Genomic DNA, 27,838 nt, shown 5'->3' on the forward strand with positions numbered 1-27,838 from the left:
CCTCCAGGCATGTTTTTATTTTTTTTCTGCACCCCTCTAGCCTTCTAAATTCTACCAGCCACCAAGACCCACCATAGAATTCATACCTGCTAAAAGTGAGGGTTGGTTGCATTTTAAAGCCTTCATTATTAGAGCTGATGCTTACCGGTTGATTTGAGCTTCTTCTTTTTTTTTTTTTTCTAGGAATGAAGCTTAATAATTTTTTTCTATAATTGAAAAACCAAGCTAAAGTGAAATGACCTATGAGCAAGTGGCAGAACCTGTACTAAAAACATATTTCCTTATGCCCAACAGGGCTCTCTCTCTCACAACCCTCTGTTAGAGAAAAAAAGCACAAAGCAGGGCTACACACTCCACTCTCCCTTCCCTAAGGAATCTCAGAAAGCTGATGAATGCATTTGGCATCCTCTCCAGAAGTGCTGGAAATAGCCGTTATAATGCAGGGTCTGGGCTTGGAATTCCACAGCTCTCCCCACGTGGGACCAAATCGACTCTGTCACTGACAAGCAGCAGCGGGAGCTCGAGTAAGTTATAAAATACTGCTGAGCCTCAGTTTTCTAAAATGTAAAATGGAGATAATCGTACTTACTGACAGTTGGGTGTGATGATCCAGTATGATAATATATGTAGAACACCTGGAGAGCAGGTGCTTGCCTGGTCATGGGGCATTTCAAGGGTTTTAAGCAAAGTCACTCATTCCCCAGTTTAAAACTTTTGGTAACAGGCTGTACATAGCCCTGAGGAGGCACATAGCCTGAGGTCCCCAGCCCGGTGCCTGTAGCCCTTTGTAATCTGCACTCTACTCTCCCAGCCTCATTGCTCAGATAGCTCCTCCTGACACTCCATTCCGCTCTCCAGCTTTGCAAAGAAATTTCCAGCTTTCTAAGCTCCACTGTTCTGTCTTCACTTTGGACTGGTGCTTTGCCAGGAGTGTTTGCTAATTCTCTTTCTCCATTTCCTCAACACCTCATGTCCTCTGGCCCTCTAAAGCTCATTTTTCGGGTCTCAGATCAGGTCTCACATTTGATACCTTCTCGAGGAAGTCCTGCCCCACCTCACCCCATCACCAGGCCATGTCTCTGTGCCCCCTTAGTGATCCTACTAGACTGGGGAGCAACTCACTGTGTTGTGCCATTGTCTACTCTTTTGCCATGTCTGCATCCCCCAACAGGATGCAAGCTCAGTGCAGACAGGAGCTACATCTGGGGTCTTGTTCACCATCATCTCGCTCACACATTCCAAGGCTTGGTACAGAGTAGGAACTCAAATAATAGCTGTAAATGGAATCGATCAGAATAACAATAACAGTCTAGAGAAAAATAAAAAATCTCACCACTCCAGGGCGAGCAAGACAAATGGGCTTGTCCCATTGTTGAGACGGAAAGCTTTACACAAATAATTTCATTTCCAGCCTTTCTAGAACAAAGCAGGACTTAAAATAAAATCAACCAGCTACCAGGTGCCTGGGAGCAAGGGTACCATAGCCAATGCTGCTTGTGGGTCAGGAAACTACCAGAATCCAGCCTTGTCAATGCAAAATGCTTAGAGCCCTGGGGGGTCGGGATGGGTTAAGGCAGGGCCTCTTTGAACCACAGAGAGGAAGCCCCTTTCTAAATCCCAGTCACTGAAAGCCAGTGCCTTCCTTTCCTAGCGCCTATAGAATTGAATTAGCATAAGCATTGTCATGTAATGAGTTGTCAGCCTGAAGATGTAATTATTGCAAAGCAGCGAAAAATTTCAAAAGTTGAGCTTTAATGGAAAAATGAGATGGGAGCTCTGGCATTCAAGTATAAAACAAACTTTTTAATATTCATTCCTCCTGCACTCTTGGAAATTCACCTTCAGAGCGCCAAGGTGAACAGGGGGAAAAAAGTTCAATAATTTTCAAATCCTAATTATAATTCATCACAGGTGGTTAAACAAGGCTGTGGGTATTTGTTGCTCACCACTTGTTTTTTTCTTACAGTGGACATTTAATTTTAATTAAAAAGAGAGTTTTTTTTTAAATGATGCCTAGTGCTATTTTTCCTTTTCCATGCAGAGAGACTCAATTTTTCAATTTGCCGATATTATAAGATAAAAAACACTGCATACATGTTTATGCCTTGTATTTTGATGGGGTGGGAGGCTATCAGTTCATCCACCTTTAGGGTCTCTATACTTCCCGAGAGAGTCAATCCAGACTCCACAGACTGCCTTTCCAGATCTCCATAATTGAGCTAGCATTTACACTTCTGAAATTTCTAAGCTTCAGCTTCTTTATTTGAAAAATAGGGGTCAGGTGAGTGGCTCTCACCTGTAATCCCTGCACTTTGGGAGGCCAAGGCAGGCAGATCACTTGAGGCCAGGAGTTCAAGACCAGCCTGGCCAACATGTCGAAACCCCTTTCTACTAAAAATACAAAATTAGCCAGGCATGGTGGTAGCTGTAATCCCAGCTACTTGGGAGGCTGAGGTATGAGAATTGCTTGAACCTGGGAGGCAGAGGTTGCAGTGAGCTGAGATTGCGCCTCCAGACTGGAGTCTCCAGCTGGAGACTGCACTCCAGCCTGGGCGACAGAGCAAGACTCCTTTTCAAAATAATTAATTAGTTAAAAAAATGAAAAATGAGGATGTTAATAATGAGACATATTTTGCTATCCATGGTAGGTACTTTGGGAAAGTAAGATCATTCTGTCTACAAGCACTTTATAGGACTGATGACTCACCATGAGACCAAGTTAATTATTACAAGCTCTCCAAATGTTATTTGTTGTTTTTCTTATTGATAAGTATTTGTTAATTAATTCAACAAACACACTATTTTTGTGTGTGTGTGTGTGTACAAGGCACTGTGCTAATTTCCAGGGTTTAAAAAGAGAAAAGAAAATGAACCATGTGTCATCATCTTTCATGATGAGGATTGATCCAGTTTAGACAGGAAGACAGACATGAGAACAAATGGGCCTGATTCCATTTGATTCTTACAGAAATGCTCTGAGGTGTGTAGGAGATAGGATTAGAAGTCTCGTATAGCTTTATAGCTGTGTAATTTGGGGAAAGTCTTTTAACATTTTGAGACTCAAAATTCATTGCATAAAAAAATAGGGTAAATAGTATTGTTTCTACTTTTGATTGCTGTATAAATATTATTTTCCTTTATCATCTTTTCTTCCATAAATCTCCTAATCTGTGCTCAAGTAATACTTCCTAGCTTTTATGTCTATGATTTCCCTTGCCTAAGCACTTTCCACATTTCTGTATCTGGCATACCTATGCTCACCCTTTAAAAGGTAGGATAGATACGATGATCCTTGTGAAGTTTTCTCACATTCACAAGAGAGTTCAGTTTCCTTGATATTGTTCCCATAATATTTCTCTGTTCTTGTCCTGATTTCAGCCCAGATCCTCTGGTATACGATGAGTCACTGACTCATTTTCCTCCTAGGTGTTGAGCTTCCTAAGGAGGTCATCCTAACCCTGCTTGGAAAAATGTTTCTTGGTGAAGGAGAGTTAATGAAAGGATGAGGGTGAGTATGTTAGGATTGCATAGCTGCAAGCAACAGAAATGGATTTTGGTTAGCTTAAATGGAAACACGAACTTACTGGGAAAAGACCAGGTAGTTAGAAGTTTGGCAATGAGGCTGCAGGACCAGGCTTATAGAAAAATGAAAGCTAGGACAGATTAAGGTACCTAAGAGGCAAGAACTGATAGACCAAATTTAGAGGAATCCTTTCCAATGTCTTCCCATCAGTGCTATAGAGCATTCTAGATTTGAATGCTGTGTGTGTGTGGAGGGGAGTGGGGTCTGGGTCAGCCACCCAGAGCACTGAGGGCAGAGCATCTTCAACGTTAGTCCTTCTGACTGCTCCCAAGGGGAAAAAGGAACTTGGGGTGCTATTTCCAAATAGAGGGGGCATGAGTGCTAGGTGGCCCCATATAGCAAATGATCACCACAAACTACATGTGAATAAATGAGGGACTCCCCACAGAGAGGGTGAACATCTTCTGAATAGCCCAGGCTGGAGTGCAATGGCACGATCTCGGCTCACTGCAACTTCCGCCTCCTGGGTTCAAGCGAGTCTCCTGCCTCAGCCTACGGGGCAGCTAGGATTACAGGCATGCACCACCACGCCTGGTTAATTTTGTATTTTTAGTAGAGAGGGGGGTTTCTCCATGTTGGTCAGGCTGGTCGCGAACTCCCGACCTTAGGTGATCCGCCTGCCTCAGCCTCCCAAAGTGCTGGGATTACAGGCATGAGACTTACTCATTTCTGTACCCTGTAGGTGGCACAGTGCCTGTCAGTAAGGGATCCTCTCTATTCATCTTTATTTTGAGATCTGGTCTAGAGTTCTTTTCTGGCAGGCGGTCTTTATTTTCCTATAGCCCGGAAGAGACAACTCTCCCTTGAACACTTAAACTCAGTGCCTTCTATCTACAGCTCTTCTGTCAGATAGCGTGAAGCCTGATCTCATCACTCTGACCATCTAACAATTATCAGTCTTCCTGTTTGATAAATCAATTGAGCGGGGACCACATCAGGCATTAAGGTGTCCCACAACCATCATCCCAGGTGGGCAGGCACAACCGAAGTGCCCTGATCCTGCAGTCCTTTAATTGGGCAAATTTATAGTTGTGCCTTTTACCCCTTCCTATTTTGTATCAGTTTCTGAAGCTTCATTCTCCATTAAGATCAAGTTTACACAAGAGGCTCGAAGCAAAGCAAACTCAAGTCAGATGTTTTTGGATGGTACCCAAAGGCCCTGAAAATTCACAGGTGAAGAGGATTAATTTCATTGCCATGCTTCTGACACACCCCTTTCAAAGTGGTTTAGCACTGCTGTTTAGTAAATGCTATTCGCCTCCTGCTTCTGGTACCAGCCACATTTGCATATTCATCAGAAGTGTGCACACAGTATTAAACCCGACCGTTACCACACTTCTCATTCCCAAATCCCTCTATGAATGCTGATACCTGTTTCTCTAGCTGCAGCCATAATTTTCTCAAGGTCAGCACATGCTGGCGTTTCCCTGGGGAGCTGGGGGCCTCCACTGCCCTGAAGAAGCCATGCGCTGCTGCTTCCTGTCACCTCAATGGGTATGACTCCATAAGACTTCAGTGTGTCTGATGGGAGGTGGTGTTTGTGGAATGCACAAATGCCAGTGAGAAGGCTTGAAGTGAACACTGGAAGTGGAGTCAAAAAGCTGGTTCAAGTCTAGGCTCCAAAACCTGATGCAAGTTGCTTCTAGCCACACTGAGCTTCAACATCCTCATTTGTGAAACCGAAAATAAGTTATCTGTGCTGCTGTGTTTACTCCATGAGATTATGTAGGTGAAGGTGCTGTATCACCTTTAAAATTATGTAGAAAACTAACAGGTTTTGAAATTTATTGCTTGTTTTATTATAAAAGAAAAAAAAAAAAAGAGGAAGCCCATGCTAGCCACATGAAAGAACAGGGGAAACAGAGACAGTCACAGTTTCCTGGTTAGTTCCCAGCTGTTTAAGTTATTCCAGCGGAGATCTCAGACATCATTTTGTAGCAGATACTTCTCCGATGTACTTTTATAAACTACGGACCCACAGAGCCAGAAAATATGGCAATAATAAATACAGTCACTAAGTTTTGGGGTAGCTTGTGATGTCACATTAGAGAACTCCAACATATTCAACCTCTCCAGGTGTTCACTTGAAGCCGCTTCACTAGGGTTCGTGTGTCAGGGAGACATGGCCACTCCTCCGCATGGAGGAAATGGGACTCCATTCTCAGCAAAGAAGTCCCTCTTCAAAAATCCTGTTCCAACCTGTGATAACTGAACTGTTGCATGTTCTTAGTGTTGGTGAGACCCATAGGAGTTGTGTAAACAATTTTTACATATTTTCCTTGCTAGTTGTTACCCAGACCTGAGACCTTACTTGAAATATCCTATCTCTTGTATCTTGGTGGCTTGGACAACTCTTTCCAAATAACATGTGATTATAAAAATAAATAATAAAGATAATCCTTAATAATAAGAATTGCCATAAAGAATATAAAACAGGCTAATGAAATAAAGTTATTTGGGAAGTGGGGTGCACGAACCACTCTGGGGAGATGATGTTTGGAAGAAGAACTTTAAAATGAGAAGGAGACAATGAATCCTGAGTTGAAATAATTTTCTTTCCTCCTATTTCCTACTGTCTTTCCATGCCTAGTGGAGCATCTATCACCGTTGGCCTGCTCCCAGAGTTATTTATTTCTGTCTTCCCAGTAGATTGTGAGAGTCTGGAGGGCAGGAATTATCATTTATCTCCACATTCTTCTAGGGTGTTGGTGTTGCTTGTAGCAGGTGTTCAGTAAATGAGTGTTAAATAAAATGCAAATCATGTTGAGAGTAGATCGGAGGCCTCTGTTTCACATGGCTATTTACCCAGAAACTGTCAAGGGTCTGGCCCTTCAAGGACATACAGTAAACTATAGGAAGAAACCAAATGTGCGACCCATCCTTTACAGCAGTGTTTCAAGGGTTGGCACCAGAGAGAAAATACTGCAGCCCTATTTTAAGTGAAAAAGGCTTTACTGACACATTTTCTTTACTCCAAGTGCAAGTTCCACTTCTTGCCATGGACTGTGTTTTTATGAGAATTCCCTTCCATGTTGCCTAGATCCAACAGGTTTCTTATGATCTTAAGAACAATAGAACAACTGAATTCTTTATTCAGTTAGTATCACTGAACACTGATGTTTTCTTCTAAACACAGTTTAATCCCTAAACTGAAATCCTGATTGATGGCCTTGGGTACCATATTCATGATTTGCATTTTTTTTTTTATTTTAAACAACCAGTAATCAATTTATTAAGACAGTTGACTTAAGCATCTGCAACGGTGACTTCCACTTCAACTCCTAGCTCAGTACTGATGGAAGTAATCTGCTTAACAATCTCAGAAGGACTGTGCAAGTCAAAGAGTCACTTGTGGATTCTCATCTGGAAACGACCTCATGTCTTAGAACCTTCACCACAAGGAGTTTTTCTTGTAGTGATTCTCAGAATCTTGGTAGGTATTCAAACTGGTCCTTTCCCTTTGATATTCTTTTCCTTTGCTCCTCTGATCAAGTCAGCACATACCATCTCCTGGGATTTTACACTGCAGCTCCTTAAAGTGATGCAAATTTGGTGAATTGCCACCTCCGGCTCCATGAGTGTTTTTCCGGTATTTTTAAAAGTCATGGAAGCTGTGTGGCTTCCTGATCAACTTGTTCCTCAGTGAGAGTGAACAGTGGTGAGCCAGGAGCAGGAGTCGGCGGATGATAGCCCCACACCACTTGCGACCGCATCATCCTCAAAGAGCGATTTGCATTCTTATCTAAAGTTCTTCAGTCAGTCATCCATTCTAATCCTATATATATATATATACACATTATATTATATATATGATATATATTTCATATATAAAATATTTCATATATAATATATATGAAATATATAATACATATGAAATATATAATACATATGAAATATATAATATATAATATAATATATATAATATATAATATATATGAAATATATAATATAATATATTATATATTATATATGAAATATATAATATAATATATTATATATTATATATATGAAATATATAATATATGAAATATATTATATATGAAATATATATTATGTATGAAATATATATGAAATATATATTATGTATGAAATATATATATGAAATATATATGTATGAAATATATTTATATGAAATATATATTATATAAATATATTCTATATATTATATATAAATATATTTTATACATATATATATAGAGAGAGAGAGAGACAGATTTTCACCCTTGTTGCCCAGGCTAGAGTGCAATGGTACGATCTCGGCTCACTGCAACCTCCACCTCCAGGGTTCAAGTCTCCTGACTCAGCCTCCAAGTAGCTGGGATTACAGGTGCCTGCCACCACGTCTGGCTGATATTTTGGTATTTTTAATAGAGACGGGGTGTCACCATTTTGGCCAGGCTGGTCTCGAACTCCTGACCTCAGATGATCCATCTGCCTCGGCCTCCCAATGTGCTGGGATTACAGGTGTGTGAGCCACCATGCCCAGCCTAATCCAATATTTTTCATGATGTGTTGGTGAATCATTAAATCAGTTTGGTGAGTTTTGACTGGAATTTTATTTAAATTAAATTGAATAACAGAAAATATCATAGTCTATCAAAGTTAAAGGTGTGATTTTTTGAGCTGTGTTTGGTTGCATGTGTGCATATACTGGGTCATAGTCCAAAAGGTTTAAAAGTTACTAATGTGAACGTTTCTCCAATTACATTCCCTACCAGTCACACATTTTTCTGTATGACGCCTTCATCTTTTTTGTGCAAACATTAGTTTTCTGTAATGCCCAATGTGACTTAACATGACCAAACTGAATTCTTTATCTTCTCTTCAAACTTGTTTTTCCTTCTGCCTTCCCTATTTTTAAGAGTTATTGTCTACCCAGTCATGTGAAATCTTTTGAATTTGATCTTGGAAACATACCTAAAATGTATTCCTTTGCATCCTATACAAAAGCCTGTGCCCTATGTCAGCCTCATCATCTCTCGCCTGACCATTGCATTGCTCCTACTTTAGGTCTTTCTGGTTTGGGTTAAACACCGCCCAGTTCAAATTTTATTTTACCACTCAAATGAATCTTGTTTATGTAAAGAATTTAGTTGCATCACACACATTTATTTCCTCTTTCTCCCATGATGTCATTAAAATTAAAGAACTAACAAAAAGACAGAGGGGATAATAAATGAGAGAGGGCCCATCAGCACATGAGAGAAGTAAGCACATTTAAGAAAGTCTGAAGGCAGATGGGTGATAGGTCCTGGATTAAACAGTCCAGTAATGACTGTCAGGAGTGGAGTAGATTCAGCTGACAAGCATAGTCACCAGCCAGGCAGAACCACAGAGGGGTCAGCATTCAGATTTGCCAGGTAAGACAGAGCATGCAACATGGGGCAAAAATAACTGCTGGACAGCCAACGCCCTTTCTTCTTCCTCTACTCCCATATGCAGCTTATAATACCTGAAGACCCAGGCATGCACATACCCAGAAAAAATCTCTATACTCTAGGCTACACCTCCCACCCCCTGGGAGATATGACTGTACATATGTGTATACACACACATATATATACATACACATATGACATGTAATATAAAATATATACAAAACAGACTATAAATATATTAAAATTGAATGCACACACAGACACACACATACACAATGTAACCTCTCTGGGTAAGTGTCTTCAGCTGAAAAGTAAGATCACCTCCAGCTCTGACAATCTATGATTTTCTCTCCCATGTGTAAATTTATATCTGTTCTCTGGTCATACAACCAACATGCTGTGAAGATATTAAAAAAAGAGAGAGAGAGAGAGAGAAATGCATTGCCCCCTTGCTTGTGCTTCATCACTGGTATAATTCTAAAAGAATTTCCAGTAAAGCTTTTGAATCCTCATATCTGAAAGCTTGGCAGGCCGTGAGTAAAAACCTGCACTTATCAATAGACTTGAGTTATTCTCCTTTTAATTAATACCATCAAACAAATTAGTATTAAATACTTGTGATATGCCAGATGTTGGGCTAAATACTTATGTGTGGGATCACACTTAGTATTCAAACAACTTTTCAGGTGAACATTATTATTCCCATTACACAGACAGGGAAATTAAGGCTCAGTAAGGTTAAGTAACTTCTCAACAACTCAGAGCTCAGCAAGCTACAAATCCAAGTTTCTATATTAAATCTACCAGGTTCCAAAACATATGTTCTTAACCCCTACATTCTAGTGGCTGGTGGTTAAGCTCTTCTATTAACTTGAAGTCAATTCACTCTGCCTCGGTTTCCTTATCTGTCAAATAGGGGAAATCGTTCACTCTCACCATCTTTAAGTTATTGTGAAGACATGCGGTATTGAGCTTAATTCTGCCTTGATAAAATTATGTATCATAAAAATGCAAGTTATAAATATAAATAGCAATTTGAATGCCTGGGTGTGCCTTACACTCCCCAGTTTAGCCGGGTCCAACTCCCTCTGACCTTATATCAAACCTATTTATACCTTTTGTTCTCAGCATGGCCCCAATAGGCATTTGCATTTGTAATCCCTGGACTAGAGGCTGGAAGCTTTCCTGAAATAATAAATACAGTCAGTTCTCCGTATCTGTGGGTTCTGCATCTGTGGATACAACCAACTGCGGATCAAAAATATTCAGAAAGTAAAATTGATGATCGTATGTGTACTGAACATATGCAGACTTTTTTTCTCATTATTATTCCCTAAGCAATATAGTACAACTATTCGTGTAGCGTTGACATTGTGTTAGGTATTATAAGTAATCTAGAGATAATTTAAAAGATACAGGAGGATGTGTGTATGTTATATGCAAATATTATACCATTTTATATAAGGACTTTGAGCATCAGTGGGTTTTTGTATTTGAGGGGGATCCTCGAGACGAATTCCCCCACGAATACCCAGGGACAACTTTACAATCTAAAAGGGAAAAAAGAGCAGTTCATTAGTTGGTATGCCTTCATGCATTTTCCTTTACTTGCCATTGGCCACATAAATGGATCCCGGTTTCCTCATCTGAAAATTCAGGATAGATAGTCGCTGGTTTTTTAAGATTAAATAAAGTAACATGAAGGCACTTTGAAAATTCTAAAAGGCAAAATAAATCTAAAATGCTATTTTAACAAACAATATATTTGCTAAAGTTTCAGCATTATGTCAAAAAATAAACTTAGAAACACAGACCCCACCATTTTTTTTACACTCCAGATGTTAAAACATCTTGTTTAGTCACTTTAGCATACATCTCAAATTTATGATCACTTTGTTTGAGACAGTCCTGTTGTATTTAAAAAATAACATACTCGACAAATAGAATTCTTCTGGACAGGTACGAAGTTAGCACTATTTGGAAATGGCTGCAGGGATGCATATTTCCTGGGCACCCACTAATTGCCGGGTACTGGACTAGAATCCTCTGCTGGCATGCTGCTCCCTGTGGCTCCTCAGCCCTTGATTCTTGGAGCCCTCTTTCCACTCATTGAACTGTGTTGCTGTTGATCTGTCCTCTCTTCCATACTGAAGACTCTGCAGTTCAAGACTTGCCAGTTATCTTTTCATTCTGAGCACACAGTAGGCTTGTAAGACACTCCTGTTGAAGTGGAGTGAATTCATCTTTTCCACTATATAATAGTAAAAGTAGGTCCCAGTTATTGAGCTTTTAAGTCAAAAGCTTCTGATATGCATTAATAATCATTGATTCTTGCTGAGCCTCACCATGAACCAGGCACTAATCTGAGCACTGTACACATGTTGATTCATTTTAAGCCCATGAGAAAGGCATGATTGTCAGTCTTGATGTACAGATAAGGAAATAAGAGGCCCAGAGTGATTATGGGACTTGCCCAATGTCACCTGGCAAAGTTTTGTTTGACCCCAGCAGTCTGGTTCCAGAACCTAGGCTTTTAACCAAAACTACACTGCCTTTGTATTAGTTCATTCTCACCCTTCTAATAACAAATACCCAAGACTGGGTAATTTATAAAGAAAAGAGGTTTAATTGACTCACATGGCTGGGAAGGCCTCAGGAAACTTACAATCATGGCAGAAGGCACCTCTTCACAGGGCAGCAGGAGAGAGAGTGAATGCCAGCAAGGGAAATGCCAGACGCTTATAAAACCATTAGGTCTTATGAGAACTCACTCACTATCATGAGAAGAGCATGAGGGAAACCACCCCCATGATCAATTCACTTCCCATGAGGTCCGTTTCTCAACATCTGGGGATTACAACTCAAGATGAGATTTGGGCGGGGACACAGCCAAACCATATCAGTCTTGCATGTGATCTGATTGATTTTTCATTTAATTTTCAGAAGTCAGTGCCTTGAGTGCTTAACTTTGCACCCAGGGTTCTAGTTACTTCTGGATGCTTATCTTTCTTTTGGACTATAAACTCCTGGAAGGCAGATGCTTATCTAGCAACCCTCAAGTTTCACTCATGCTTGCTTTTGCACTAGAATAAATCAGTACACTGTTGTTGACAATTCTGCTCAGCTATCTCACTGTTGGCGTGCAGTGGCTTTTTTTTTTTTTTTTTTGCATTTATCTTTCCAAGTGTGCCAGTTTCAGGCCTCCCAAACTCAGGCACCCGGCATAGGCAGGTCTCCAGGTAGACTCCAAGAGTTAACAGGTGAGAGCCACTGCCCTGCTCAGCAGCAAGGTTCCTGCCTTCCCTTTTAGGTAACTCAGCTGAAACAGATCTCTTTCCTGAGGACACTCCCAGAATGTTTATTGTTCTATCACCTCCTGCATCACAGATTCCACAGTACCAGCATTTCTTTTGAGGGAAAAGAATAAAAACATAAGGCAAAGGCTGATTATATGCATAAATCTGAATAGTTATTATTGTAGTGAACAAAGTCTACTTGTCTACAATGAAGTTATTGATAAAATTTGCAACTGTGGCTTAGCCATCTCTCTAGTGTTGCAGGACACCTATCTCATAGTGCCGTTTAGATCCCATGCCTAGATGTCCTCTGAATTCACCCTTTCATCCAAGCCTCCACAGCTAGTACACTGGCAAGCCAAGCAAGTTAACCTTTCCTGGTGTACTTTGACTCTGAGCACCTCTCTCCACCTCCACTGATATCACCCAAACTCAAGCCTGCATCATGCCTGTCCTGGGCCATCTGGCAGCAGCCCCTAGCAGGCCTTGCTACATCTACTCTTGCCACCCCAGCAATCAGATCTCCTAAAGGAATAGTATTTTTGAAAATATTAATCAAGATACCTCATTCCTCTGCTATAAATCCTCTAAGGTCTTCCTATTGCACTTAGAATAAACTCGAAATTCCATACCTGACTTCCTTCATAAGACCCACCCCCCTGCCAACTGTTATGTAGTGTCACTGGCCTCTTTGCTTTTTCAACACATTAAGCTCATTCATGTCTCAGATTCTGTGCATTGCTGTTCCTACTGATTACTCAGCTTCCAGCACCCACACACAGACATCCCCAGGACTCATTCCCTCACTCATTCAGCTATAAATGTCACCTCCTAAGACCCATCTCTTACCTAAAATAGCTCCTGTCTTGCTCTCTGCCTTCATCCTATGCCATTTTCACATATCCATGTTTGGCATGATCTTGTGTGTGTGTGTGTGTGTGTGTGCATGTGTGTGCGTGTGTGTGTGTAAATTTAGTTGTTCACTGTCTGTCCCTGTAGTAGGGTAAATAATGGTCTCAAAGATGTCCACATCCTGTCCTAATCCCCAAAACCTGTGATTATGTTACCTTACATGGTAAACGTACTTTGCAGATATGATTGGATTAGTGCTCTTGGGATGGGGAGACTATTCTGAATTATCTGGGTGGGCCCAATATAATTACAGGGTTCTTATTAAAGGGAGATGCAGGATCAGAGTCAGAGAGAGAAGATGTAAGGACAGAATCAGGGGTCAGGGAAGAGAAAAGATGCTATGCTGCTGGACTTGAACATGGAGGAAGAGGCCACGGGTCAAGGAATACAGGTGCAGGCATTCCTAGAAGCTGGAAAAGGTAACAAAGTGGATTCTAGAGCCTCCAGAAGGAAAATGGGACTGCCAAGATCTTAATTTCAGCCCAGTGAAATGGATTTCTGACTTCTGATTTCCAGAACCTTAAAATAATAAATTCACATTGTTTTGAGCTACTAAGTTTGTAGTATTTTGCTATAGTGACCACAGGAAATGAATCCATCCCCACCCCCCAACTAGAATGTAAACTGTAAACTTTATAAATATAGGGATTATTTCCTAGAATAGTGCTTAGATCATAGGAGGCATTAAAAAAAGGATTTGTTGCATCAGTGAATGAAACCATGAACGGTATGTGTACATGGGTGTCTTCTACATGAGGCTAAGAGTGGCTTGAGGGCAAGGACTGTACCTTATTGCTGTCCACACACCTATTCCCCTTCGTGCCTGACACACAGCAGTCAACACAACTCAGGTGATTTGAAGGAAGTAGCATACATTTGTCAAATTGAATGATCTGGAAATAGTTGATAATGTCATAGTTAAATATGCTTCATAAGTATGTAGTCTTTTACAAGGAAAATTGGAATGTGTGTAATGTGAATATAGCAGCTAGTATTATTTTTATGTTTTTCCCTATCTGAGCTTATAGTAAAGAAGTCCAGTTGTGAATGAAAAGAAACTCAAAGACATACACATTTTAAAATTCTCATTCTGTTTCAGAATTGCTTCTCTAATGAAAGGATCCAGCTTGTCCTCATGATCTGAAAACACCTACCCATGAGGCACTGAGAGCCTACAGCAGGTGGGAGGGTCAGAAGGCCTTGAGCCTCACTCAGCAGCTGCTCCAAGAACCCTAGGCTCTGTCAGATATGTGCACCCCATGTATAAAAGCTGTTTCCCATAGTGTAGTTCGGTTTCTTCACTCTATGGATTAGCTAGGGCCGATTAAGTAACCAATTTATGTACTCAGAGCTGTTTAAATGCATGCTGTGTCTGCATGATAGATGGCGATGTTCTTCTCTGAACCACCATTCCTTCCCCAGGATATTTTCCCCCTCAAAAATAAATACGAAAAAGAGTCTAAAATAATACTGCAAGAGAAACAGGAAATTCAAAACTTTTCTCAGCTAATTCTAACAAAGTCTTAAAAACCAGATGGCATGAATAATTCTACCTGTGCGAGGGCTGACAGAGATGTGGGTCAGAAGCCTGCTGGAAGCTAGGGTGGTACAGCGAAAGGCACAACGGCCTTGGAGTCGGAGAGACCTGGGTTCAAATTCCAGGTGGGCACCTATTAGCTTCAGTCCTGGGCAAGTCAAAGTACTCCTTTGTTCTTTGCTCTAGTAGAAAGGGGATAATAGTGTTTCATTTTCAGGTTGATGTGAAGTTTAGAAGTATGTATCTAAATACCTGTATATCGGTAGCAGGAAATGAGGAGTCACAAACTCAGGTTTCCACAGGGACCTGGCATGTTGCATAAAGGAGAGGCTGTCCAGGTGGACCCGTAATGAATTGGCAAGTATGTGCCCATCGAAAGGGGCAGCTGCTGCTGTGCTGCATCCAGCTGGGAGTGACCATGTGGAAATGAGGGCCCTGGTGTGCCAGAACTTCTCATTTTTCAAAAGAAGCAAGAATGATTATTATTTTTTATGTAAAATCTCTTAAGCTTTCAATGTTCACAGCAAATTCAAAGTTAAAAACAAACAAACAAACCCCAAATTACTGATCAGATCAAACACAACATCTATGAACAGAACCTGGCCTAAGGTCCATCAGTTAATGGTTTGTGCTCTAGATAAATGGTCATTATTATTGCAACTTGGAGGAGCTTTTAGAAACAGAAAGTGTCATACTGTCTTAAAGAAATGCTTTCAGTTTGAAGCACCACTTAATAATACTGGTCCATGATGAAGCTTTCACTGTTTTGTGGTGAAATGAAAAAAATAAGTTTATTCCTCCCTCCCACAAAAGCTAAATTTAATCCATTAAAACATTTGTAAGGAGTAAGTAAGTCCTTTCTTCTTTTGTGATACAGTCTTCTTTCCTTATGAGATGATTGTGACAGTGGGTGATAGGTTTAAGCTGTTTTTCACATCCTTGCTTGGAAAAATTATAGGTTGCCAGTGCTATGTTGGACTCCTTCTCTTTGTAAATTTAGTTTTACTGTTTCTTAACATCCTAGGGCTAGCGACCACTGGTTTGGGGCATTTTTACTAATGTGAATTTTGTTTCCATAGTGGATATTGTAAAAGCTGTTGATTTCTCCTCATTATCCATTTTTGCCTTCTTTCTTTCTTTCTTTCTTTTTTTTTTTTTTTTTTTTGAGATGGAGTCTCGCTCTGTCGCCCAGGCTAGAGTGCAGTGCTGCTGTCTCGGCTCACTGCAAACTCCCTCTCCCGGGTTCACGCCATTCTCCTGCCTCAGCTCCCGAGTAGTTGGGACTACAGGCACCCACCACCGCGCCTGGCTAATTTTTTTGTATTTTTAGTAGAGACAGGGTTTCACCATGTTAGCCAGGATGGTCTTGATCTCCTGACCTCATGATCCACCCGCCTCGGCCTCCCAAAGTGCTGGGATTACAGGCATGAGCCACTGCGCCCGGCCTCTGTCTTCTTTCTTAGTAAGAGAATATTCTTCCAGGCCTGTGCCCTCCAAGAATAAATACTGTATTTTACAGCCCCTTTGCTGTTTCGTGTCCACATGACTAAGTTCTGGTCAAAGGTTAGCAGAAGTATATTCGGACATTTTCTTGAAGCTTTCTTCAACAAATAACTAGCATGCTGTCTTGCTTTTTCTTCTTTCTACATCTGCTACTTGGAACGTGGATGTAATGGCTGAAGAGCCATCCTGAAGGACAGAGCAGGAAGCTGGAAGGAGCCTGGATTCCTGAGGACTTCACAGAGTAGCACTGCCAAATCCACCCTAGGACCATCAACTTCTGACTTATCTGTGAAAGAGAAACAGACTTCTCTCTTATTTAAACCAGTATTATCGTACTACTTGGAACTGTAACTAATCCTAACTGACAACACTGGGGGAAATGTTTGTAGCTAGGTGCTGTCATTTGTACCAAATACTTGTTTGGGATTAATTTCCCATGTGAATCAATAAAAGGGAGAGAGAATTGAGTCAAAGAAAAAAAAGTTCTTTGGAACAGTCTTGGATTTAAAAACAGTCTCCAAGCAATTCTTAGTGATACTGCAAACACAATTAGCAAGCTTTACCAACTGAAAGCATCTTAAGGGTTTACAGTGGAACTACATGTCTTCAGGTCATCACTAACAACTCATGACTGGAGATGACATGTCATGTTCCTACAGGAAGTTCATAATGAAATACTATCGTCATAGCTGAGTGTGAGGGCCCCTGTAAGTACTGAAACAGTGCTGTAAATACCCACAGATGGTCTTACTAGAATAGTAAGGGTACTAACTGCTGCTATCTACAAGCGCCCTATAAGAATGGAGTGTGTCTGAGGGAAGGCACTGTGGCTTTTATTTCTTTACCCCTACTACCTGTCCAGTGTTCTTACTATGGCCCCTCCCTCATTTGCTCACTCACCACTTCCTGGACACCCCGACATTTCCTTTGCTTCTGAATTATGCTGAGCTCATTCCTTCCTCTGGGCTAGTACATTTCCTGTTTCTTCTGTCCAGAGGGATCTTTTCTCAGACCTTCCTGAGAAGACTCTATCTCACTGTTCAGATCTCAGCTCAGATGTTACCTTCTCGAGAAGTCTTTCCTTGACGTATGAAATTTGAATATTTTCCTCAGTCACTCTCAATGGCACTTAACACCATCTGAAATTATGTATTCGTTTCCTGCATATTGAATCTTTTTTTAATGCTTAGAATAAGGGCAAAGACCTTGTCAGTTTTGCTCACCTGGTTTCTCCAAACATAGTAAACACTCAACAGACAGTTGAATGAAAGACTATTTAACATGACACAATTACCATAGGCAATCTGTGGGATTCTACAAGAAATCTATAATGTTCTGTAGGTACTTATAGGAGATCTATAATGGCAGCGCAGGCATTATAGATAATCTATGGTTTCCTACAGATCACCTGCTCTGGGAATATAAATCCTTTCAGATTCTTTTTAAAGGGGCTAAGACCCCCTTTAGGCAATCTGTGATGGCCGTATCTATCCAAATATTATGAAATGGGTCTACAGGGTATTTTGAATTGCTCAATAGAAAAGTGAGGGAGGATATTTCACATACTGCCAGAGTAGGAAAAGCATGACCAAAAGCAAGGTGGTAGGAGAAGTGTCAGAATCCCTGGGGAACAAGGCATCAACAGGACTAGCAGGTCTGCCATGCTCTGAGGGTGGCAGAGGATTGGTAACTAAGCATAGAGCCAAACTGTGGAGGAACCTGAGGGTACGCAAAGGAATTTTGACTTGAGTGTTTCCCTCTGGGCATCAGATTTCTCACCTGTAAATGAGCTGATGTGCTCTATTTAAGGATGCTAACTGCCTAGCCAGTGGACCGTCATTCTGTCACTCTGTGTCAGTAGTGGACATTCTTGGTACCCTGCCCAGACTCCCTTTCCTGGGCTGGTGCACATACTGCCCAGCTGCTGTGAGTGTCAGCTGCTAATGACTGACAGCTGCTCCCTTCTTCCAAGAATAGCCCTCTGCTGAGGAGAGCCACCAGGCTGGGGGTATGAACCATTCCCATCCCCACATCCATAGCCAATGACCAACCGCCAGTGTACGAGAGGTTAGCCCCCTGCCTCAATTCACACTGCAGTGGCCCAGGTTGGTCCCCAGCTGAGACCACATCCTTGTTTAACTTTCTACTCTGCCTTCAGCCTGCTTGTCTCTCTCCCCTTCTGAGAGGCTCCTTACTAAATATTTTCCACAAGTACCCCGTCTCAAGCCCAACATCTAAGGAAGAACCCAAGTTAAGATGGGTCCCTTGGCATACATCACTGCATTGATCAGAACACTCTTGCCCTACAAGCTCAGATGCCATCTTAAAATTGTCACCTCCGCAATTCAAGCAACACTTCCACTCCTTTGACACTGGCATTGGAGAGAAAACCTGTTTGACAAACCCTGAGCTAGAAGATCTCTAAGGTCCCTTGCTTTGCTGACATTTTATAAAATGACACTTTTTAGGTGACTTTAACTTGTGTTGTGAATGAAAATGGGAAAACAGAGAATCAGAGGTACTGAAATCGAAGAAATTTCAAACTCCTTTTCCCAAGACTCACCTGTGCTTGTTTGCTCATTCATGAACATTCTCCTGCCATAAAAGACAAAAGGTACCTGGGTTCTATTTGCCTAGCACAGAATTGGGCACTTGGGACATGCTACCTAAATATCTGGTGATTTCCACACTTACATAACTTCTCATTTTACCTAGAAAAGAACTTCCTGCTGCTTACAAATAAGGGACTATGAGTGTGATGTTAAGAAGACCCACTGAAGGATTTCTGGACTAGAACAAAAACTCCAGGGAAGAGATCTTCTTCCTCAGGAAAAGGGAAATAAAAGATGCACCCTCTCTGCAGACTCCACTGATACAGGAAAGAATATCATACTAAAGGAGAAGAAGACTGGGCGCGGTGGCTCACGCCTGTAATCCCAGCACTTTGGGAGGCCGAGGTGGGTGGATCACTTGAGGTCAGGAGTTCAAGACCGGCCTAGCCAACATGGTGAAACCCCATCTCTACTAAAAATACAAAAATTAGCTGGGCATGGTGGTGCATGCCTGTAATCCCAGCTACTTGGAAGTCTGAGGCAGGAGAATCACTTGAACTTGGGAAGTGGAGGTTGCAGTAAGACAAGATCATGCCACTGCACTCCAGCCTGGGTGGCACAGTGAGACTGTCAAAAAAAAAAAAAAAAAAAAGCAGCAGCAGCAGGCTGACAAGTCTTCCTTTAGGGGTTGGCTGGGAAGTGTGTCAGTAAGTGAGAAATAGGAAAGAAGATCCTGTGGGTTCTGGTACTTTGCTTTTACATTTGAGAAGTGATTCCTAAACAGTGCACCTGTCCACAGGGGAGCTTAGACGGTGGACAGGGGTGCTGGGTTCTGTGATGGGACCAAGTCACCAAGTGGTGATAAATGAGAGCAGGAGAGAGTCTCAGGCAGCCTTTCCGGAGCCTTTTGGAATTAATGTTTTTTAAGAATATTAACAGCTATTACACAGATAATAGCATTACTATTTTTTTAGTTGCAGAATCAGCATATACATACACATGTATATATGTGTGAGTGTGTGTGTATATTTAAACTAGAGAGACAGCTGAGTACAGTGGATAAGAATTTAGATCCTGGAGACAGACTGTGGTCAAATCCTGGCTCTGCAACAACTTTGTGACCTTGGGCAACTGACTGAACTGCTCTGTGCTATAGGCTATAATTCCATCATCTTTTAAAAAGATGCTAATGATAATATCTCACCTTACAGAGCTGTCATGAGAATTAAATGAGTTAACCTTTGTAAAACACAGAGTATGTTACGTAGGTGTTTCTAAGCAAACAATGTGCTCATTTTGTCAAGGGTAATGAAGAAAACAATGGATTCAATGGATTTATTTAAACTGCAGGACTCCTCAGGACCTAAAGTGTTAATATCCTTTATGACAGGAATATGATGGGTAGCAGTTAGAGATCCTTTTTTATGGAGCATCCTGCAGGACAAGTATCCATTAAACAGTTAGGGGGACAAAACCTCGCTTAAGGAGATAGCCCTATCAGGTGAGGAATAAAGAGAGTGAACTAACTTTTATGGAGCACCTGGTACATGACAACGCTGTGCTAGGAGCATGATTTGCCTTATCCTTCTTAACTACAACATTTTGAGGCTATTAAGTCATCTATTTATTTTTTATTTTTTGAGACAGAATCTTGCTCTATTGCCCATGCTGGAATGCAGTGGTGCAATCATAACTCACTGAAGCCTCAAACTCCTGGGCTCAGGTGATCCTTTCACCTCAGCCTCCAATTAGCTAGGACCACAGGGGCATGCTACCAGGCCTGGCTAATTTTTTAAACTATTTTTGTAGAGATAGGGTCTCCCTGTGTTGCCAGGCTGGTCTTGAACTCCTGGGCTCAAGTGTTTCTCCCCGCTTGGCCTCCCACGGTGCTATGATTACAGACATGAGTCAGGGCCCCTATTTTATAGATAAAGAATTGGAGCTTTAGAGAGATGGAGTTGGCCAAGAGTGTCCTATGAAATATTTTAGGGCCAGCAGGGACAATCCTTCTTTGTCCAACTGCCAAGCTTCATCCTGGGAAAATGGAGGTCAGGGAGGACTTCAAGGAGGGGAGGGGTCAACTGGATCCAGAGCAGAGTGGGACTCTGACCAAGGGCTGAGCAGGCATGAATACCACCTGAGACGCAGAACAGGACAGCAAGGCTGCTAGAGACTGTCAAGGCACAGAAAGACTGAGCTGGTGACAAGAACAACGACTGGAGACATTTGACACATCCCAGAATCCTCGCCTTTACTGTATTTGTTACTTCGTTACTATCTGCCTGCTTCCAACAGGGATCCATGGTCATTCCCTCCAGAGCAGGCTTGCGGGCTTGTTTTCAGGGGTAGCAAAAATGGCAATCCTGGAGAATTTGTTTCTCTGGTGCCAGCTGAGACTCCGCCCCGAAAGGAGAACCTCCCAGTAGAGGAGCTCAGTGCGAGAAGGGGTCTGGGCTTTCCACAGGAAAATTTCACACAAGGCCAAGCAGATGATGAGTTTGGATGTCCTAACCTATTCTCTTACATAGGTACATATGGGGTGATGGGGAAGATTCCTTTACTCAACCAATGTTTACAGGGTTAAACGAGAATGATAGGTCCCTCTGGACTTGTTTCCAGGACTCCAGGGAAAATGCTAGTTTTGTATGAGATGAATCTCAAAAAATGCTTATTAAACAGATGACTGACTGGTAATTGAGTGAACTTGACTTTTGAAATATGTACAGAAATAGAGTGTTTCCCATGAGGGGATAAACCCGCAGATACAACTATCAGCAAAACCTGGGGTGAGAGTGAAGGGAAGGGGTTGGATTAAAGAGGGCTTTGAGATAAGAGGTACCCAACATGTGGCACAGTGCCAGGCACCCAGACACCTAAAAGATGTGCTGCCTGTCCTCATGCTTTCCTTCTCAGGCCAGCAGCAGCAGGAGTAGGGGAGAGAACACAGATGCAGAGAGGGAGAGCTAGACAGGAGGAGGTAGGAGGAGGACGTAACAGCTGCAGTGTCACAGGCTCTGGGTCTGGAAGCAGGGGGGCAGCGCGGCAGACACACCTACTGCCCTAAATCATTAGCAGCAACAGCACGCAGAGCTTTGTTTGTGTTGCCTTCTGCTCCAGATTGTTGCTTCCTCACTGACAAGACAATTTGCAGACTGGCCTACTTTCTCATGCCCACCTTCTGCCTTGGGTTCAAAGAGTTGGTCACAAGGGGTGTGTGTGTGTGTTTGTGTCTGGGTGTGTGTGTGTGTGTGAGAGAGAGAGAGACAGAATTCACAAGGTTAAGCTTGTGTGCCTGTTTGTCTGAGAATGTGTTTGTGTGCATAAGACTGAGAGACAGAATTCATGACCTTGAACTTGTGTGTATTGGGGGAGACAACAGAATTCATAAGCTTGAGTGTGTGTGTGTGTATGTGTGTGTGCACATGCACGTGTGTGAGAGAATTCATGAGCTTGAGTTTGCGTTTAAGAGAGGGAGTGAGATTGTTGTGTGTGTGTGTGTGCGTGTGTAGGAGCCCTGAGATGGGGGAGAGTTGGCCTGAAAATGATAAAAGGCCTTCCTTTTACTCAGTAATTTTACTGCTTTTGTGAGGGAATAACAAGCTGGGATAGTGCGTGGGGGTGGGGAAGAGGGCGCAGAACTCATGAACCCTCACTGAAGGGCTCTCCTACCCTCTATCTTTACTTCTGTACTTTTGAACAATGCTGGGGCTTACTCAGGATTTCCAGTTTCTGCAGGGTTTGGGGGAAACTGAGGTTGTCCCTAAGAGGGTTTAGGCTGGGGACTCTGAGGCTAGGCGATTGTAAGTTCCTCCGTGGAAAGGTGCACACATGATCCCTCACACCTGCGCCTCTGGATCTGGCATGTGATCCAGCACTAGCAGGTGCTCAGTAAATGTTGTTGCATCTCTTTGGTATTAAGTGGGATTCTCGCTGCAGAGAGTGACTGACTTGCCTCTGAAGGCAATCAAAACCATATTCCAAAGTACTAATGCTTCCCTCATTTGTATGGTTTCATTGCCAGGTTCCTTGCCTGATACAGATAGGCCCCCAATTACTTCTTGACTGAGATATTTTTTGAACTAACCAGTTGCTTGACCAAACTCAATCTTCTGCATATTGCTCTTGAGCTATTTGTATACAGAGACACAGACATAGAGCAAGGCATCAGTAGGCTTTGGCAGTGGAGTCCAGACTCAAATGCCCTGAGCAGTCCTGCAGTAGCTTAAATGTGTGATGCAATGTGTGATAAGAAACAGGAGAGGTGGGAGGGCAGGTATTTATACTCGACTATTAAAGAAACATACAACAAAAACAAACAAACAGAAAAGGTGAGTATGCATGTTTTCAATCAGTTTCAGAAATAAGAGACCTGTATTTTCAGTTATACCCTTTGGGGGTGTTAACGTTTCTACCCATTAGAAGACAGCTGGCATGGAGGCAGGAGGAGAGACTCTTACTTCGGGTTTGGAATGAGATGAAGGGGACTGTGCAAGGCATCTTTTGCCCAGTAAATCCTGTCACTGCAAACCTTGACATTACCCCACTCACACAGAAAAGTTGTGAGGCTAGACTAGGGTGGCAGAGCTGGACATAGATATGGGTTTGAATCCAGGCTGCACTATTAGCTGTATGTCTGTGGATGAGATATTAAATGTTGATGATAGTCTATCTTCTTATACATAAAGTGCAGAAATAATAACTGACTTAATGATAACATATGGAATGTTTTCTGTGATAAGTATTCACCACATTTTAGTGTGTTTAATCATGACAACAGCAAGTCTGTGTGGTAGCTACTATCATTTTTCCTGTTTTGTGGACTAGGAAACTGAGACAGAGAGGTTAAGTAACTTGACCAAGATCACACAGCTATGGTATGGTAGATTCTAGACTTGAGCTAGGGCTAGCTTAATTCCAAAGCTGATATTCTTAAGCATTTTGCTGCTCCATCGCTGCCTTTGTGCAATTTTGTGAGGACTAGATGGGATTTTCTCTATGAAGTGTATGAGAAAATGCCTACCTAGAATATAGACAGTGTTTGCTCTGTGCACTTCCTAGTCATTTGTCTCCCCTTCCTGGTCTTCTTTGAGTTTTACTCCTTAGTTTAGGCCATGAGGATCCTACAAGGTCCTCCTAAGGCCAGCCAGAAGTTGTGCTTCCATGATTTAAAAATTAAACCCTGTTGTCTCCATGTCTGAATAATTGAGGTTTTTCAATAATAAGGCAGGGTGATTTATAGAAGGGCTATTAGTCTTCATAATAAATTTATTAAATGATCATTGCTGCTTTTTTTCCCTTCGTTATTTGTCATCGGCGGAGTGGTAATTGGTGTTTGAAATCCGTGTTGGCATGCCATCAAACGAGCCTGCTGTTCTGATCAAGCAAAGCCGCCTGGCAGCAGGGGGCCGGCAGAGCTGACAGGAAGCAGGGAAGCATGGGCCACAGGCGGTGAGATCTTCCCACGGAAGGAGTGGCCCAGGGCTTCCGGATCTCCAAATTAACTCATACGCCCCTGTCTCTTCTTCAGCACCGAGGCAGGAAGGTCTCTGTCGAATTTGTTGAACTCCTTAGACAAGCACAGGTTAAATACACATGCCAGGATGGTGGTCTAGCACTTCATTACAGTGCGTTAATTATCATCACCTTCAACGGCAATTAATAACAATTAAGGGTCTTGTAATAACATGAGCACTGTGTGGAGCTACTTTCGAAGCTGCAGGAAAGTGGAATGGATGGTTTTGGAGTACCAGAGTTGGAAGCATCAGCCATACTGTCTTAAAATAAGAGTATGAATGATATTGTTAGGCTCTGTAAACTGAGTGGGACATGCAAGAGGCCACATCCCCCACTAGGCTGGGGTAAGGAACTGACAGAATAAACAAGGCCTGCAGACAGGCTTCTGTGGCCGGTCTGCAAACACAGGCTTCTGTGTTTTGAAATAGTCAGAATTTGAACGTCCCTAGGCTGGACCTGCAAAAAGCCCCCTGCATTCTCCAGTTCCAGCTTGGTCCTGAGATGATTGTCTTCTTACACCTGTCCATGCCCTGAAGTCAAATCCATCTCTGCTCTAAGGTGAAGAAAGAGGTCCAGATAGCATGCTTCCTTCACAGATCTGTTGTGGGGAGTCCATGAGAGAATTCATGCTATGCACTAACAAAACACAGTCTGGCAAAGAATGCTTCTCTCCTCCACTGAAGCAGGCTATGAAGACTTTGGGCTTTCATGCCTTATTGTGGCATCTGAATGACTAGAGAGTCTCTCTGGGGACCCCAGGCAAGCTGTTTCACCTCTCTGGGAGTCAAAGGGGAGAAAGTCCCTAACCCACAGGTTTGTTGTCAGAGTTAAATGGAAGGATACATTGAAATGCTTGATGCATAGTAGGCACTTAATAAATTACAATTCCTTTTTTCCTCCTTTCATCTTTTCAGGCTAGAAGTCAGTGAATCAATCAGTCTTTAACAGGTTGTAAATCCTTATCATATCAGGAAGAACACTTTGGTTTGCAGGCTTTTGGTGTCACATGACACCAGGATGAAATCAGCTCTGCCACTTACCAGCTATATGACCTTTCCCAAGTGACTTAAACTCTCAGAGTTGAGTTTCCATATGGGTGAAATGGAAACGATGAAAGGAACAAAAATGTGGTTGGGCATACTCAATGAGACAAGGAGTGTGTTTAGTGCTTAAGAGCTCCGTGGATCATAGTTGCTAAGACGGTTATACCCAACTTGAAATGAGAACTCACTTTTTCATTCAAAGGCACCCTTAACTGTGTATTTATCATTGCCTCTATTTGGAGAATTAGGTTTGAAATGTTAATTTTCACTTACTTTTAAAGATCCAAACTTAGAAAAGATGACATTATGCACTTACAAACGGTAAGTTGTAATTTTATGAAATTGAGATGCTTTCTAATAAGCCACATTAACAAAGCCATATATACATTTCTAACCAAAAAAACCTTCAAAATTAGAGTTAAGCTAATGAAGATCTGTCATTCTAAGACTTATTTGGGAGTTTTCCTACATATGCTGGCAGACACTATCTTCTCGAACAAAATATTTTTGCTAAAGCAGCAAATGCCTTCTTTCTCTAATGAATTGCCAATTTTGTAAGGTTAAATACATAGTCTATAGCGTTTTCATTTTTTTAAAGATTTTTTTCCATTTATCTTGGGAAATTACAGAGATGATGAAAATCTAAATATAATTTAATGCAAATGTATTCAAATAATTATAGGACGAAAAGTCAACAACAAGTCAAAGCCCCCTGCATGTGTTAAAGACGGATGCTGGGAAGGAAGGCATTTTCACCTTGAGAAGGCGAGTTTAAAATGTTCCACAACAACCTTCTCTCCCATGGTCCTTTTCTCCCTACTTCCCTCCTTTGCTCTTTCCTTTATCCTTCTTTTCACAACAGATTTCTGTTTTTCTTTCCTTCTCTTCTTTCCTCCCTCCTTTTCCCTCCTCCTTCTTCTACTCCTGGCTCTATCTTTTCTCTGTGTGTATCTTTCTGTCTCCGTGCTGTGTCTCTCTGTATTTCCTCTCTCTGTTTGTTTGCCTCATGCCCCATCTCCCCCCTTATCTCACTCACCGCGTCTATAGGGACAGGCCAGCCACTGGGCTAGGCACTAGCAGAGGATAAAAAGAAGGCCATGGCTCCATTTCTGCCCTTGTAGGCCTCAGGGTTTTATGGGGGAGGCAAACAACCCTGCTAAGAAAGTGGAAGTATTACACTGGCAATCAGCACCCACTCTGGCAAAACAGTGTTTAGCACTGTCTTGGAAAGCAGAGGGAAGTTAAATAGAAGATGAAGCTTTAAAGTATGTCTTGAAGGATGAGAAAAAGGTGTCCAGGCAAAGGGATGGGCAGGGATAGACACAAAGACATAGGCAATTATAGAGACTTTAAGGAATGGTAAAAAGATAAAGTCAGGCTGCTAAATTAGAGGAGGGAAAGGGAGGAGGGGAAAAAGGAAGACAGAAGGAGAGAGTGAAGACCGGGAATCAGGGGAGTGGCCAAAAGGAGAAGGCCTTATAGTTCTAACAGTTGTACACCAGTTCTGGCTCAGTACAAAAGCCCTATTTTTGGATTTCATAGGCCAGTTTCAAAAATAAAACAAAAAAGCTGGGTCGAACCTTTATTTTATTAAATAAAGACATTTACCAAAATACTGTCTATTAGCATTGTAATTATATGAAATGGGTGACAGTTAACACCTAAAGTAATAGAAGAAACAATAAGAATAAAATATATTAGTTTGGAATGGATCATTTAGATTTAGGTAAAGCTCATTATGGAATCCCTTTTTTTTTTCTCAAGTTTGTTTCAAAGCAGTGACAACTTGATTATTCATCATGATTACTGTGCTTGCTTCCACAAATCTGCATTTGAGAAGCACTTCTGTATGCAGTGTCAAGGAGGCTGTATTCCTATTTGGGTAGCAGTGAGGAGCTGGTGAAGGTTTCTAAGGAGATGATGGTCAGTGCTCTCTGGGCTGCAGGAACACCAGGGCAGTGCAGAAGCTCACCTCTAGCCTGCTGTGTTCTGTGGGTCACAAGCTATGGTGGCCTAAATCTATTACTAGAAGATGACCATACTCACACCACAGAGGATGGTTGTGGTAATTAAAATGTCTAATAGATGTGAAGGCACTGAGATGTCTAGAGATCTAACTGCAGAGATCATTAGCGTCAGAGGACGATCTCATCTTGAATGCTGGCAGCTAGCGAAACTGGACCACACAGAGCCATGGAGGGGGTGAGTGGTCAGGTACAACCTTCCCCTGTGTCTTAGTGTATTTGGGCTGCTTTAACAAGACACCATAAATTGGGTGGTTTATAAATAATATAAATTTATTTTTCATAGTTCTGGAGGCTGGGAAGTCCAAGATTGAGGCTCCAGCAGATTGGGTGTCTGGTGAGGGCCTGCTTCCTGCTTCACAGATAGCCATCTTTTCACTGTGCCCCCACATGGCAGAAGAGGTGAGGGATCTCACTGGGATTTCTTTCATAAAGGCACTAGTCTTACTTATGAGGACTCTGTCCTCATGACCTAATCACCCCACAAAGGCCCTGC

The 27,838-nt window shown here is 41.9% G+C and overlaps 1 protein-coding gene and 1 pseudogene across 4 annotated transcripts in view, besides 3 other annotated features; both read right to left on the reverse strand.

Annotated features, from left to right (window-relative positions):
• The window catches only part of DAB1 (DAB adaptor protein 1), a 1,551,949-nt gene that overhangs the window by 604,240 nt on the left and 919,871 nt on the right, over positions 1 to 27,838 (reverse strand). The window lies entirely within an intron of this gene.
• RPS20P5 (ribosomal protein S20 pseudogene 5) lies at positions 6,796 to 7,309 on the reverse strand (annotated as a pseudogene).
• Positions 6,803 to 7,311: an enhancer, noted in NCBI's record as "NANOG hESC enhancer chr1:58071492-58072000 (GRCh37/hg19 assembly coordinates)". NCBI's record gives its function as "activates a minimal SCP1, AML or CMV promoter by ChIP-STARR-seq in primed H9 embryonic stem cells {active_cell/tissue: H9 hESC(primed)}" and the evidence as "EXISTENCE:reporter gene assay evidence [ECO:0000049][PMID:30033119]".
• Positions 23,666 to 24,167: an enhancer, noted in NCBI's record as "H3K4me1 hESC enhancer chr1:58088355-58088856 (GRCh37/hg19 assembly coordinates)". NCBI's record gives its function as "activates a minimal SCP1, AML or CMV promoter by ChIP-STARR-seq in naive and primed H9 embryonic stem cells {active_cell/tissue: H9 hESC(naive and primed)}" and the evidence as "EXISTENCE:reporter gene assay evidence [ECO:0000049][PMID:30033119]".
• Positions 24,168 to 24,667: an enhancer, noted in NCBI's record as "H3K4me1 hESC enhancer chr1:58088857-58089356 (GRCh37/hg19 assembly coordinates)". NCBI's record gives its function as "activates a minimal SCP1, AML or CMV promoter by ChIP-STARR-seq in naive and primed H9 embryonic stem cells {active_cell/tissue: H9 hESC(naive and primed)}" and the evidence as "EXISTENCE:reporter gene assay evidence [ECO:0000049][PMID:30033119]".

This window comes from Homo sapiens, chromosome 1, assembly GCF_000001405.40.
Source record: "Homo sapiens chromosome 1, GRCh38.p14 Primary Assembly".
NCBI lineage: Eukaryota > Metazoa > Chordata > Mammalia > Primates > Hominidae > Homo > Homo sapiens.